The sequence below is a fragment of the Homo sapiens genome, chromosome 3 (genome assembly GCF_000001405.40).
Source record: "Homo sapiens chromosome 3, GRCh38.p14 Primary Assembly".
In the NCBI taxonomy this organism is placed as follows: Eukaryota; Metazoa; Chordata; class Mammalia; order Primates; family Hominidae; genus Homo; species Homo sapiens.
In genome coordinates, this window is record NC_000003.12 from 877,437 (window position 1) to 893,287 (window position 15,851).

Below are 15,851 nucleotides of genomic sequence, written 5' to 3' on the forward strand. Positions count from 1 at the left end.
ACATAGATAATCCACTGATGACTTACAGTTCAGTTGGACATATAAAATATGATAGAACTTTTCAATAATTATCCTTAAACTCTAGAAGAACTTTGAGGAGTCCTTGTTCATATTGCTTTTCTGAATATAATTAATAAGATTATTAAGATCAGTCTGCAGCAGTTTCCTTGTAGATGGAAAAGTTAATTCTCAGTTCAGGGTATAAACGAGAAAGAACATAATTACTATTATTGGACTAATTTTCCTAATAAAGTTAGGCTTGCTAGCCCTTAGTACACCATTGTTAATTTATACACATGTTGATGAAAGGCAAGATAAGTAAAGTCTAGTGAGTTTGGAATAGTTTAGAGGTCCCCCTCAACTTTTAGGTATGTGAAGGGGATTTTTAATGAATGCTTTTAAGTTAACAAGGAAAAGAAGGGACTGAATGATCAGTTTTTTGTATTAGGTGGTCTGTTTCCCACTGGAAAAGTTGTTATGTGGCTAAAGAGCCTGGTTTAAATAAAAACAAACAGACAAATTTATGCAGAAAGTTAACGAAGACTAAAAACCCCAGTGCCCATTGTGCTGGGACAGCAGATGCCATCAGCAGATGCACTGGAGTTTACTCCAGTTCTTTACTGAGCCCAACTATATAATGGCTATGCACATTTAAATACTTTAAACACAAAACAGGTAATAAACACGAGTGGATTGAAACAATGGGCAACATGTGTGGATATGAGAAAGTGGAGCGTGTGAGAAAAAGTCTTTTAGAGCTAAAGTGCAAGCCTCTTCTAAAGCCATTAAAATCCTTTTTGTTTTTTCTTTTTGAGATGGAGTCTTGGCTGTCACTCAGGCTGGAGTGCAGTAGTGTGATCTTGGCTCACTGCAAGCTCCGCCTCCCAGGTACAAGTGATTCTCCTGCCTCAGCCTCCCGAGTAGCTGGAACTACAGGTGTGTGCCACTACGCCCAGCTAATTTTTTGTATTTTTAGTAGAGATGGGGTTTCACCGTGTTAGCCAGGATGGTCTCGATCTCTTGACCTCGTGATCTGCCTGCCTAGGCCTCCCAAAGTGCTCGGATTACAGGCATGAGCCACCGTGCCCGGCTAAAATCCATTTCTTACCCCTAACATGCTGTGCTAGAAATAAAAAAGCAACTCTGAGGCCCTAATCAGATTCCGTAGTCTACCAATTCGATCTGTCATCTTCAGAACTCTACACTAAACTTCTCCAACATATAATCACAGAAACAACACAATAGTTACAACAGCATGAATGTTTTCTATATCATTTCAAGTCTTCCACACCATAAAGTCACTAAGAATAGGAAATTCATATTTACTTATACTTGCCCATTCTCATTTCTAATAGAAAAATAATATAGCAAAATGATTTGAATGCCTACACTTTCACAATACTCACTGACTTATTTGTAATATGAAACAAAACAAATAAAAACTAACCTAGTGACCCATTCATATATGCATGCTTTCTAAAAGGTTTTGTTTTTGTTTTTAATGATTCTCATTTGCTTACCACATCAGTGTTGCAATGTTAGTCATCTGGAATTCTAGAAATTGGGGGAAGGAAAAATTAGAACACCTACCAAGTTAAGCTAATAGAATAGTATTTTGTAATAGAAACCTAAAGGTACATAGAAGATAGATACGGTTTTATCAAAATAAACTACCAAAACTATACTAAGGATAGGGATGGAGAAAGGAACGAAATCAAGCTTTCAAATGACTCTGGAGAGGGTGGTTGGAAAAGGCTGAAAATCATTCAGTAACATTTCTGAACATATATATTCATACAGAGGAAATAAAGAAAGTAACCCTCTAAGATAAAAGAAGCTAGGAGTGTTAACTGCTATAAATATGTGAAGAGAAAGAAACATCAAGAAAAGAAGAATTTTTAAAAATTTCGTGGACTGGGAGGAGAAAGGGAGTTGATATTTAAAAAGACATTAGGTCCATGGAGGGTGCCCTCCAGATGTTCCCAAGTCTTGGGCATTCAGACTCTAATCCTTTGTATGATGCATAGGAATAAATTAGCCAGCCTCTTGTTACCCACAGTGTGATTTGTAAAGCATCAGCTTCAAGGTTATCCTGGAGCTTGATAGAAATAGAGACCTGGCGGTGTCACTCCCTGCTTAACAAATGAGAATCCACATTTTCAGAAGACCCCAGGTGATTCCTATGCACATCAAACTGTGAAGAGCACTGAGCCAGACTACAGAGTGCAAAGCCCTGTTCTAAGCCACAGTGATGCTGACTCTCCTCACCATTTTCTCTCTCAAGGTCCTGACTGTGGGCAAAATATAGAATCTTAGAGCCTGGATTATAGCAGTTTTACACAAGCAGCACACTGATGGAAGCAGCTACAGAGGAAAAGAGAACTGGCAGCTCTTGAACTTTCACCCTCTTTCAGAATTCTTAAAAATTCAGAGAGCTGTTCTTTAAAGAGACATTTTTCTCTCAGCAGTTGAATCTTTGTAGTCTGACTTGTGAGAGGACGTCAAAGACTTCCTCTCAGGAGTCAGTTCCCTGCCATTGCACCCAGCTCCTTGCCTAGCCTTCTTCCACATCTCCTTTATCACAGGGGCCTCAAAACTATAGATGGCAGTGACTTGGCACGGACCATACAATTCTAAAAGGAAGTCAACTTAGTGTTATACTTCCACATGGAATCTGCGTTTCTAAAGTAGAGGATAGCATTGAATATACCAAGAAGTTTCTTCCCAGAAACAAAACCCCGTTCTGGATATAGTGTTAAGAGGAAGCTGTTCCTGTTTCATGAGGTCGTAATACTCAGATCGGTGTGCTGTCATCAGCCCTGTTGAATACATTTCCAAATCCTTTAGGCTTTTGTCTTTTGCCATACTCTAGAAAGTAAAAACTATAATCAAACTCATTTTCTTCGCCCCTTTACGTGAATTAATGTTATAATCAATTGAACTGCATGGACATGCCAGTATCTATTTTCAATCTGTGTAGGCAGAATGAAGAAAGCATAATTGAGCGGTGCTCATCTTTTAAAGGCAAAATGAAGTTTTCAGTTTGGAATTGATTAGTTGTTAGGGGATTAAGACCTTTGAGGTAATTCCCTGCAGCTGGGGCAGTTAGACGGCAGGGGATTTGAGTTTCCGCCTTGTAAACAAATCTTTAAAGTGGATTTGCTATTTCTGTGGGGAGGGGAGCCTCTGTGGAATTTGGTAGTTGGCAAGATTTGGCAATTTTCTGCTTGGGAAGAAAACAAGATGGGTCTCAAATCTAAGTCCTCTTTTTCTCAGATCAACATCACCTTTTGAAAAATAAATTGATTCTTTGGCCTTAATGACTACTAAAGGAAATTAAAAACAAACAAACAAAACAGAAGAAAAATGATTAAAGAAGCCGGGCGCAGTGGCTCACGCCTGTAATCCCAGCACTTTGGGAGGCCGAGGCGGGCAGATCACCTGAGGTCAGGAGTTTGAGATCAGCCTGACCAACATGGTGAAACCTCGTCTCTACTAAAAGTACAAAAATTAGTTGGGCATGGTGGCGCATGCCTGTAATCCCAGCTACTCGGGAGGCTGAGGCAGGAGAATTGCTTGAACCCGGGGGGTGGAAGTTGTGGTGAGCCAAGATCTTGCCATTGCACTCCAGCCTGGGCAACAAGAGTGAAACTCTGTCTCAAAAACAAAAAAAAACAAAAAAAAAAAGGAAAAATGATTAAAGTAAGAATGAAAATTTAGTTAATGTTATTTAGGACAGTAAAAGCAGATGTAGTCACAGAAAGACAATGTGCAGATGATTATATGGAAAGAAGAATGTGAAACCTTCAGATCTCTTTAAAATTTTATAATAGCTTTGTATTTTCAAATAAATTGCAAAGAGTTTCTATACTTGTATCTAGTTTCCCCTATTAACATTGTACATTAGTGTTGTGTAGTGTTTTAATTAATGAAACAATAGTGATACCATTGATTACGATTTCATGAAGTCTGTAGTTCATTTAGAGTCCTTTAGTTTTTAAGAAGTGTCCTTTCTCTGTTCCAGGATCTCATCCAGGATACCACATTACATTTAGCAGTCATGTCTCTTTAGTCGTCTCTTTACTGTGAGTATTTCTCACACTTCTCTTGTTTTTGATGATTTTGACAGTTTGGATGAGAATTGGTTAGGTATTTTGTAATCTACACATCAACTGAGGCTTGATTGATGTTTTTCTTTAAAATATTTTTCCCATTTGTATACATGTGTGGTATACAAGTGCAATTTTGTTACATGCATATATTGCACAGTGGTTAACTCAGGGCTTTAGGGTATCCATCACTTAAATGATGTACAGTGTACATTGAAGTAATTTCTCATTTACCCCCCCAACCCCCTCACCCTTGTGGGTCTCCATTGTCTATTATCCACTCTACATCCATGTCTACACGTTTTATAACACCCACTTATGAGCAAGAACATGCAATATTTGACTTTTTGTGCCTGGTGATGTTTTCCTTTTGATTAAACTGGGACACACATTTATGGGAGGAAGACCAGACAGATAAAGTGGCATTCTTATCACATCATCTCAAGGGCATACGCCATTGACATGACTTATTGCTGTTGATGTTGACCATGGACACTGGGCTGAAGTAGTGTTTTTCAGGTATGCCACTGTGAAATTATATTCCCCTGTTTACAATACTGTATACTTTAGACATAGGTTATTATGTACAACCCACACTTAAAAAGTGGGGAGTTATCTTCCACCTCCTTGAGGGAGTGAAGTAGTATCTACATAAATTATTTCATATTCTTATACAAAGGGTATTTGTTTATTTCATTTATTTATATACTTGTCTTGATACAATGTAAATGAATCACTACTTATTTATATTATTATAAACATATAAATATCTATAGTATAGTTTGGGTTACAATCCAATACTTATTTTGTTACTCACATTGTTCTTGCTTTGACCACTGGGAGATCTTTCAGTTGGTTCTTGTAATACACCATTTTTAAAAGCAAAATGGAGCTAAGTGTGGTGGCGCATGCCTGTAGTCCTAGATACTAGGGAGGCTAAGGTGAGAGGATCGCCTGAGCCCAGAAATTTGAGACTGCTTTGAGAGCTATGATCACATCACTGCACTCCAATCTGGGTGATAGAGCAAGACCCTGCCCCAGCTAAAATGAAAACAAAAAACAATAACAATGCTACATGGGAAGTGAGCATGACAATGTGGTATTTTATAATTATATCCAAAGATTAGTAAGCATGATTCATGGAGAAGTGGCTAAATCTAAGCATTGTTTTCCCATGAGATTGCTGTTGGAAAAGCAATAGAAAAAAAAAAACAAAAAACAAAGAATTGAGTGAGTCAAGAGATAGGAAGTCTTTCAGTTACCTTAGAGTCACGTTAGGTATGTAGAGAAGCAGTTCAGATTAACAAAGTTCAAAAGATCCCACCGTCAGATCTGTATAACAAGCTTTGCACACGAAAGAGCTAGAGTATCTGTGACTCTGATGTAAGAAGGTATTAACCCAGTGGAAAATAAAAACAAAATTAAAAATGCCTAGGTAGACTCATTTATGGTTTTATAGTATCCCTACTGGGGCACAGATGGGAAGGGAGAAACTGTTTTTAAATAAAATGATCAGAAACTTAGACTGTGACATTAATTTGTTGGTTCAGTGTTTTAATTTGGAGGTAAATTATACTAAACAGTATTATGACATTTTCTGTAGAAAGTCTTCTACGTGTATTGAGTCACTGCCTGTTATATTGGTTTAATCAGCAAGTCATTTTTGCTGAATCTCTTAGTCTCCACTAATATTGTCTTGAAGGTGTAAATGGCATGCAGGTTGCCTAAATAAAGCTACAACATTCTGTAAGGCATTTTGTGAATGAACTACTTTTGCAGATGGTACAGGTGTTCACCCCTGTAAACTCACAATTATTTTAGAAGTGATGTACAGGTTGTCAGTTGTCCCCATCTGCCTCATTCCCCACATGCATTGTCACCTTTGTGTCAATCCAGATCTCATTAGCTCTTTGTAGACAAAGATAGAATGGTAGATAATATATAAGTAAATGTGGCTGTGTTTTTGCTCTTCAAGAGAATGCACAAGAGACTCACTCTTAATTCTTACTATTTCATGTATGTGCAGCCTCTTAATGCTTACTATTTCATGTGTGTGCAGCTTCTTAATGCTTACTATTTCATGTGTGTGCAGCCTCTACAACTACAGTGCATCTCTATTGTTTGTACAGTGACAATAATGGTAAGAATAATAACTTAGTACATACCATACTGCAGAAACTGTTTAAATTACATCCAATGTGCCCATTTAATCATCACTTTAAAATAGTAACTCCTACTCAGTAGCAATGTGCAGTTTATAGATATCTTTCACATTTGAAGATATGAATCTCAGTGTACATATATTGGTATGCAAAAAAATCAGTTATATACATGTTTAGACCACTTATATTTTAATCCCACCAAGCATATGGAAAGCTTAACCTTATGGGTGTGTGTGTGTGTGGGTGTGTGTGTGCAGGGGTTCTCTAAACTTAAAACCTGTTGTGGATGCACATGAAATTATATACAGTGCCAAGAAGGGGCACAGGCCCTGCTCAGTGAGTCATCTGACTGCACGAGTTAATAGATATAACGTGAAGGGTCACAGTTCTCTATTTGGGTTTTTTTGTACAGCCTCTGTTTCTCTGTCTCTACAAAGCACGTAGCCTTTTTTTCAAGTCTCGATGCCTCTTTCACAGCTCAGCCCTGGGCCTGCTATCCTGTTTTCACTGCTTCCCTTCTTTTTTCTACATGACTTTTTATTTTACTTTAAGTTCTGGGATACATGTGCAGAACATGCAGGTTTGTTACATAGGTATACATGTGCAATGGTGATTTCCTGCATCCATCAACCCATCATCTATGTTTTAAGGCCCGCATGCCTTAGGTATTTGTCCTAATGCTCTCTCTCCCCTTGTTCCCCAACCCTCCAGCGGGCCCCAGTGTATGATGTTCCCCTCCCTATATCCATGTGCTCTCATTGTTCAACCACCACTTATGAGTGAGAAGATGCGGTGTTTGGTTTTCTATTCTTGTGTTAGTTTGCTGAGAATGATGGCTTCCAGCTTCATCCATGTCCCTGAAAAGGGTATGAACTCATTCTTTTTATGGCTGCTTAGTATTCCACCTACATGCCTATTTCTGAGTCAAGCACGTTGTTTATGCCCAGTGCATTTTCTTTATACACAGAGGCTGAGAAAGAACCAGGAAGCCTCTGACTGTTTCAAGTGTGTTCTCTGCTATATCTATCTACTGATTCAATAAGCACAAGCTCATTGAATGGAAAAGGGCAATATGCAAAGGGAGCAAAATGAGACATATATGTCAAAGGAAAGTTCCACTGCAAATGTCTTTATTTGATGTACACAGAGGGATTTGAATTAGGTCTAGGTTTTATGCCCACTTTACAGAAAAATTGAAACTTGATCAAACCTATAGAACCAGTAAATGTCAGGACCAGACCTGGAGACACACTCCCCTCGGTGCATATTTTATATCTTCTTCATTTTATCACCCCAAATCATTTACTCCTGAAGTAAATTCATTTAATATTTAACAAATGTTTACAAAAGTTGACTATAGTAAAAGTATTATGTTAGCTGCTATGAAGTAGAAATATAATCACACGATTATCTTAATGAAGCATCTCTACTTTATAGAAGGGAAATTGAGATTCTGAATCATTAAGGTTTTAAGTGTCATCACAGGGATTGTTAGTGATAGAATACAGAGTTGAGTCTAGGGCTTATTAAACTGTATCTGTCACTCTATTCGTGTATTAGTCTGTTCTCATGCTGCTAATAAAGACCTACCCAAGAATGAGTAATTTATAAAGGAAAGAGGTTTAATGGACTCATGGTTCCACATGGCTGGGGAGGCCTCATAATCATGGCAGAAGGCAAGGGAGAAGCAAAGTCACATCTTACATGGCAGCAGGCAAGAGAGCACATGCAGGGGAACTACCTTTTATAAAACCATCAGATCTTGTGAGGCTTATCCACTATCACAAGAAAAGCATAGGAAAAACCCAACCCCATGATTCAATTACCTCTCACTGGGTCCCTCCCACGACATGAAGGAATTATGGGAGCTACAATTCAAGATGAGATTTGGGTGAGGACACAGCCAAACCATATCAATTGGCCTATTTCAGTTTGAGAACATACATCTGAATTTCAAGGAAATTTGACTACAATTGAAGAAATTGAGTATCATTACTGATTTCTAATGGATGTTGCTGTATGTAATATTTTCTATATGAGAGACAAGATGTAAGGATGAAGATGAGGGACAAGTTCTTCATCTAGAAAGATCAAGGGTGCTGTCAAGGAAGAGTTGAATTTGATTCAGAACTGAAGAATATTTGGGCTTTCAACTAGCTCAGAGAAATTCTGTAGTCACTAGAAGATCCTTGCATTTGAGAGGGCAAATTTGAATATGTTCCACAAGTAAAATCAGAAATTGGGCTTTTTATTTTACTAACCAGATTAATGCTCTATTCCAGAAATGCAAATAGGTTGTACTTTTATTTTAACATGGGGCTACTTTTGCCTACTGTTTTGCTGGTTTTTGTTGTTTTATTGCAAAACCACAATTACTGTTACACAATGGAAGCTCCATCAGTGAAGATACTTTATCTACTTTCTTCACTGTTATATTATGGGGTAAAAAAGTGCTTTGCGTATGAGAACAAGTAATAATGAAACTGGTTACTTTTGGCAGAGTCTGCGTTATACATAGGCTCTTTTGTGAAGATCTAAATATGGTTATGTAATCAGTTGTTCAGACAAGAGAAACGTAGATTAATTGAATTAGATAATCCCAGTGGTCTCTCAAAGATCAAACAATAAAACAAACTATTATCGTACCCCATTTGAAGTACTTTTGTATAACAACAGCGTTTTAACATGTTTATTTGGATTAAGATTATCAGCGACTTTGGAAGTCAATTAAGTGTGAAAGCGAAACATGGTATTTGACGACAGTACCAGCCCTGTATTGCTGCAAATACATTCTATAATAGCACTGGACGCATCATTCAGATTTTATGACAAGATGCAATAACCAGCTACCTGTGATGATAAAATAGACTTTTTTCAAATAAGATTTCTAGCAACCTTTACTATGCATGTTTTCTTTGTTGTCTTGTAACATTAACCATGGACATCACATGGCAAGCATGATGAAGAGAATTTCTTTAGAATCGAGTTTTATAACAAAGAATGTATTCCAAAGTAAGGATTTATGTTGGTGGATAATTATGAGCCAGGCCGACTACTATGAATAACTTACATCAGGGCTAGGGTTGGAGAAAATGAGGAGAGAGTAGTACAATTAAATGATCAATCATAACTAGTCTATTTGTTTATACAATAATGAAAAATAGTAGTTTCTATTGGACTGAAATGTTTCAGGTAAAATTGATGTTATATCAAATTAATTAAATAATAAATGTAATTGCCTTAAATCAATGCATGCTTAGGATTAATACTGATTAAAAATCTAAGGATGCAAAAAGATTTATAACAAAATGACAGTAACAGTGGTCTTTCCTCAATCTCTTTTTCTCCCAAAAGCAAAATCTGTTTATAATTTTAATTTTTATGAGAGCTACTTATATAAAAATGTAGACAAGAAGAAATTATTTTTTCTACTTGTGCATCTGAAAGTATCTTTTCTTTTCTTTCCTTCCTTCCTTTCTTCCTTCCTTCCTTCTTCTTTCCCTCCCTCCCTCATTCCTTTCTTCCTTCCCGCCTTTCTTCCTTCCTTCTTTCCCTCTTTTCTCTTTCACTTCCTTCTTCTCTTATCACTCCTCCCAAATTTAAAATCATCTGTCCATTGTCTTTGTCATCCAGTATAGATAATAAGGAATCTGATGGTCTTCTCATTAATAGTGAACTTGCTGTTTTTCTCTCAAAAATGAGAAAGCTTTTGGGAGCTTCTTTTTATCTTAAGTGTTCTGAAATTTCAAGACAGTATGCCTGGGTTCTTTTTAAATTCCTTTTGCTGGATACTCAGGTTTCAAATCAGAAGGTTTATGTCCTTCTTCATTTCTGCAAAATTATCTTCAATTATTTCTTGTACTATCTATTCTTCATCTGTGTTCTTACTGAGATACCGAATCATCTGAATTTGTTCCTTTTTTGTATTTTTTTCTTTCTTCATATTTTATAAGAATTATTCAGCTTTATTTTAAAGTCCTATTTTTATTCTCTAAGTGACTATTCTTGTATTTAACTTTTTATAGCATGGTCTACATTTTAATGGTTGTCATATATTTTTGAATGTTTATTTACAGAGCATCACTTTTAAAATTGTTTTCTTTCCATAAATTGGGTCTGTTTGTTTTGGAACAAGCTTTTCCATGTATTTTTCTTTTTCACTCTCTTTAGTGATCTCCAGCTGTCAATTCATGTTGTAGAAGGACAGTGATGTTGGTCACAGATTCCCCAAATGCTAAGGTTAGGTGAGAACCAGCATACTCATCAAAGATCTTCATTTTCCCCAAAGACAAAATGCAGTGCTTTTAGAAAAAAATTAATTACTTTTGGGATGTTATTTCCCTCATGATAAACATGGTTGCCATTTACACTCTCTACTGCTTTGAGAGAGAAATTTCTGTCAAGCTGTGAAATTGGTCCACACACAGCACTTCAATTAATTTCAGTTTTTGACCCTCATTGTCTTCTCAAAACGATCAGCACCTTCTCAATCTGAAGTCACAGGATGGCAGAGGTTCTGCTTAGCAGACTCTCCCACTTTGAATTGCAGTGTTTTGTTTTACCTCTTTCATCTATTTTCCAATTTTTAGAAATTTGTTGACTTTTTTTGTAAACTTTTTTTGCATTTGCACTTCTACATTTATTTATATTATTACTTTTACTTCTGTGGGATCTCAGTAATGAAGGAAACATATATGCCTAGGTTACCATATTGAATTCAACATAGAGAGTATGATTTTTTAAGTAAATCCTGAAAGAAAACTTTCTATAAATCTACAAATCCTCTTGAAATTTTCTTTTTATATTTATTTGCAAATTTTTAATTTCTTGTATTTCGTAAACTGAGAATTTTAGATACTTTTACATTTGTAGCATCAAAAATAATTTTTTAAAATGATGACATACTTAGAGTCAATCTATTGGGATTGAGTGTATTTTTAAAATTAGAATTGTTAAAATAGTATTTGACATTTGCTTTGCTTCTGGTACTGGTAGGCTAGTTTGCTGCAGACCAACTTTCACACCAAAAATCTCTAGAAAAAAAGACACAAACTTCTTATCTCAAAATATCCATGTTTCAGCAGAGGTTAGCTGAGTTTTGCTGTATTCAGGGTGTCATTGGGACTGCGATCTCGTCTGAAGCTTGAGGTCCTCTCCTACACATGTTCAGGTTATCGTTCCTTGTGGCTACAGGACTGACCAAAGTTGTTTCCTTTCTGGCTCTTGGCCGGAGGATATGTCAAGCTTCTAAATTATGCTCACAATCCCATGCCAAGTGTCCTCCATCATAGGACTTCTCACAACATAGAAGACTGCTTTGTCTTCAAGACGAGCAGAAGAGCATCTTTCTCACATTAAATCTGACTTATCTTGTCCCTAACCTCTTGACAGCATTTAATAAAAGCTAAATTCGTTAGATCAGACTCACACTGACCTAAACATAAGATTAATAAGGATCAGCTTTCTATTGGTTAATTTAAAGTCAAGTGAGTAAGATGCTAATTACATCTGTAAACCGCTTTGCTATATAAAATAACAATCTTGGCAGTAATATCCCCTCATATTCACAGTTTCCTCTTACACTCAAGGGGAGATGATTATGCAGGGTTTATGCACATGGAACCAGACATCTTGGGAGTCATCTTAGAATTCTGCCTACCATGAAGTCTACATAACCAAAACCAGGAGAAAGAAAAAGAAAAAAATATATAGTTCATGGGAAATCCAGATATTGGGGTTATCTTAAGTAATTTCGAAATAAATATTTAATATGTTAAGTATTTTAAATGTTTTAAATATTCAAAAAATTAGATGGCCATGGAAATGTTCATTAGAGAACAGAAATTAGGATTGCTAGACTTACCAAATAAACATATAGAGTTCCAAGTTAATTTTAAATATCAAGTAAATAGCAAATACTTTATACAATATATCGCATGAAATATTTGGGATATATTTATACTAAAAGTTTATTGTTACTGAAATTCAGGTTCAACTGGGTGCCCTTTATTTGACAACACTAACTGTAAACTATCAAAATAAATAAAATTTTTGAACCTTAAAATATAACAAATACAATTAAAGACTCAAGAGGTTCAAAGCACAACAGACTAGATATGACTAGATATAATTGACAAGAGGATGAGTAAAGTGCTAAGTAGGTCAGAGACAACATATACTGAAAAACAGAGAGAAAAAAATGGAAGATTCAGAAAAGCATAAGAAACACATACGACATAGTGAATAAATGTCAAAAATATTTATTGTGGTTCAGAACAGAAAAAGAATGGAGAAAAAGTATTATTTAAAGAAATAATGGCTAGGGATATTCTAAAACTGACAATAGAAAACAAGTAATAGATTCATGCAACACTGCATTTATTAAGAAGGATAAATTCAAATAAGCCATACCTACCACATCATGGAAAATAGTAAAATGAAAAAAAAAATCCTAAATAAGCTAGATAAGAAAGTGTCATACTACCTTTAAAGTTGCAACAATATTATAACACGTTTAATTGATTTACTATAAGAAACATTGGAAACTAGAAGTCAAAAACTGTGATCCTTGAATTTTTCTTAGGGGGCAGGTACCATATTGCCAAACTAGAATTTTATTCCTGGCAAAAACATTCTTTAAAATGAAAAGACAAATAATGGAGAATGAACTTGAAATTGAACGGTTTAGAATTACAAAGATTTTTTCCCCTATTTCCAGGTGAGCTCAACAGCCAATTAAGTTTTATTATAAAAAATAAAGCAGCTTATATCTACTTGAAAAAGTGAAGGCAAAATTAAAATGTTTTCATTTAAACTAAAAGTCATAGGATTTATCACTAGCAGAACTACACTAAAGAGCTCTTCAGCCATCATGAGAATGTTTTGAAATATAAGCAGAAAGGAATGAAAACCAGTGAAAAGGATATTATGTGGGAACATCTAAAAGAATACTTCCCATACAAAGCAACATTATTAATTACATAGTTTCATGCACGTCCGTGTGAAGAGACCACCAAGCAGGCTTTGTGTGAGCAATAAAGCTGTTTATTTCACCTGGGTGCAGGTGGGCTGAGTCCGAAAAGAGAGTCAGCGAAGAGAGATAGGGGTGGGGCCATTTTATAAGATTTGGGTAGGCAAAGGAAAATTACAGTCAAAGAGGGGTTGTTCTCTGGCAGGCAGGAGTGGGGGTCATAAGGTGCTCAGTAGGGGAGCTTTTGAGCCAGGATGAGCCAGGAGAAGGAGTTTCACAAGACAGTGTCATCAGTTAAGGCAGGAACAGGCCATTTTCACTTCTTTTGTGGTGGAATGTCATCAGTTAAGGCAGGAACCGGCCATCTGGATGTGTACGTGCAGGTCACAGGGGATATGATGGCTTAGCTTGGGCTCAGAGGCCTGACATTCCTGTCTTCTTATATTAGTAAGAAAAATAAAATGAAATAGTGGTAAAGTGTTGGGACAGCGAAAATTTTGGGGGATGGTATGGAGAGATAATGGGCGATGCTTCTCAGGGCCGCTTCCAGCGGGATTGGGGGTGGCGTGGGAACCTAGAGTGGGAGACATTAAGCTGAAGGAAGATTTTGTGGTAAGGGGTGATATTGTGGGGTTGTTAGAAGAAACATTTGTCATTTAGAATTATTGGTGTTGGCCTGGATACAGTTTTGTATGAATTGAAAAACTAAATGGAATAAGAGAAGGAGAAAAACAGGTATAAAAGGTCTAAGAATTGGGACGACTCAGGACATCTGATTAGAGAGTCCCTAAGGAGATTCAGCATAGTCCTGCCAGCAAAGATTATTTACTTCAAGAGTTAAGAGTGGCAGTTTGGGGATAGCACCAGGAGATATCAGCTGTGATGGCTTGGAGAAACAGTGTAAACCGGCAGTGTAAACAAGAGCAGGGCATGTATGAGTAGTTGAGAATGGTGAATAGGAGTATGACTAGACAGAAGATAGTAGGGATGACTAGTTTTTTGGGGCACAGTCTAAGTTGGTCTGGTGTCTGGAATGAGACTGGGGCCTAATAAAAAGGAGCGTCTATACAGGAGCTCAAATGGGCTGTACTTTGTAGCATTCTGAGGACAGGTCTGACTTCTGAGAAGGGAAAGTGGTAAAAGTATTGTCCAGTCCTTTTTAAGTTGGTGGCTGAGCTTGGTGAGGTGTGTTTTAAAAAGATCTTTAGTCTGTTTTACTTTTCCTGAAGACTGAGGACTGTAAGGGATATAAAGGTTTCACTGAATACTAAGAGCCTGAAAAACTTCTTGGCTGATTTGACTAATAAAGGCTGGTCTGTTATCAGACTGTATAGAGGTGGGAAGGCTAAACTGAAGAATTATGTCTGACAGAAGGGAAGAAATGACTGCGGTGGCCTTCTCAGACCCTGTAGGAAAGGCCTTTACCTATCCAGCGAAAGTGTCTACCTAGAATAAGAGGTATTTTAGTTATCTGACTCGGGGCATGTTGAGTAAAGCTAATTTGCCAGTCCTGGGTGGGGGCAAATCCTTGAGCTTGATGTGTAGGGAATGGAGGGGGCCTGAATAATCCCTGAGGAGTAGTAGAATAGCAGATGGAACACTGAGAAGTTATTTCTTTGAGGATAGATTTCCACGATGGAAAGGAAATGAGAGGTTCTAAGAGGCGGGCTAGTGGCTTGCACTATAGCATAGCCTGCCTTTGCTGATGTGTGGCGATTAGGCCTGGTGGAACTGCCATCAATAAATCAAGCATGATCAGGGTGAGGAACAGGAAAGAAGAAAATATGGGGAAATGGGATAAATGTCAGGTGGATCAGAGAGATACAGTCATGGGGGTCAGGTGTGGTATCAGGAATAATGTGGGAGGCCGGACTGAAGTCCGTGCCGGGAACAATGGTAATTGTGGGACTTAACAAAGAGTGAGTACAGCTGAAGGAGCCGGGGGAGCAGAAAGTACATGCATCAGGTATGAGGAAGGAAATAGATTTTGGAAGTTATGAGAAATGTAGAGAGTAAGTTGAGCATAGTTTGTGATTTTGAGGGCCTCTAAAAGTATTAGGGCAGCAGGAGCCGCTGCACGGAGACATGAGGCCTAGGCTAAAACAGTAAGGTCAAGTTGTTTGGACAGAAAGGCTACAGGGTGAGGTCCTGGCTCTTGTGTAAGAATTCTGACCGCACTAACCATGCCTAGGAAGGAAAGGAGTTGTTGTTTTGTAAGGGATTGAGGTTTGGGAGATTAATCGGACATGATCAGCAGGGAGAGCACGTGTGTTTTTATGAGAATTATGCTGAGATAGGTAACAGATAAGGAAGAAATTTGGGCTTGACTGAAGTAATGGGGGCTGTCTGTGAAGCTTTGCGGCAGTACAGCCCAGGTAATTTGCTGAGCCTGATGCGTGTCAGGGTCAGTCCAAGTGAAAGTGAAGAGAGGCTGGGATGACGGGTGCATAGGAATAGTAAAGAAAGCACGTTTGAGATCCAGAACGGAATAATGGATTGTGGAGGGAAGTATTGAGGATAGGAGAGTATATGGGTTTGGCACCACGGGGTGGATAGGCAACACAATTTGGTTGATAAGGCATAAATCCTGAACTAACTTGTAAGGCTTGT

At 37.4% G+C, this 15,851-nt stretch overlaps 1 long non-coding RNA gene across 2 annotated transcripts in view, besides 1 other annotated feature; it reads left to right on the forward strand.

Annotated features, from left to right (window-relative positions):
- Positions 1-893: 893 nt before the first annotated feature.
- Positions 894-15,851, forward strand: part of LOC107986059 (uncharacterized) — a 125,190-nt gene continuing 110,232 nt past the window's right edge. For both annotated transcript variants that reach the window (XR_007095784.1, XR_001740585.2), the window contains exons 1-2: positions 894-936; positions 4,025-4,085. This is a non-coding gene — a long non-coding RNA (uncharacterized LOC107986059). The remainder of the gene's footprint in view (positions 937-4,024; positions 4,086-15,851) is intronic.
- Positions 14,028-14,529: an enhancer, noted in NCBI's record as "NANOG hESC enhancer chr3:933147-933648 (GRCh37/hg19 assembly coordinates)". NCBI's record gives its function as "activates a minimal SCP1, AML or CMV promoter by ChIP-STARR-seq in primed H9 embryonic stem cells {active_cell/tissue: H9 hESC(primed)}" and the evidence as "EXISTENCE:reporter gene assay evidence [ECO:0000049][PMID:30033119]".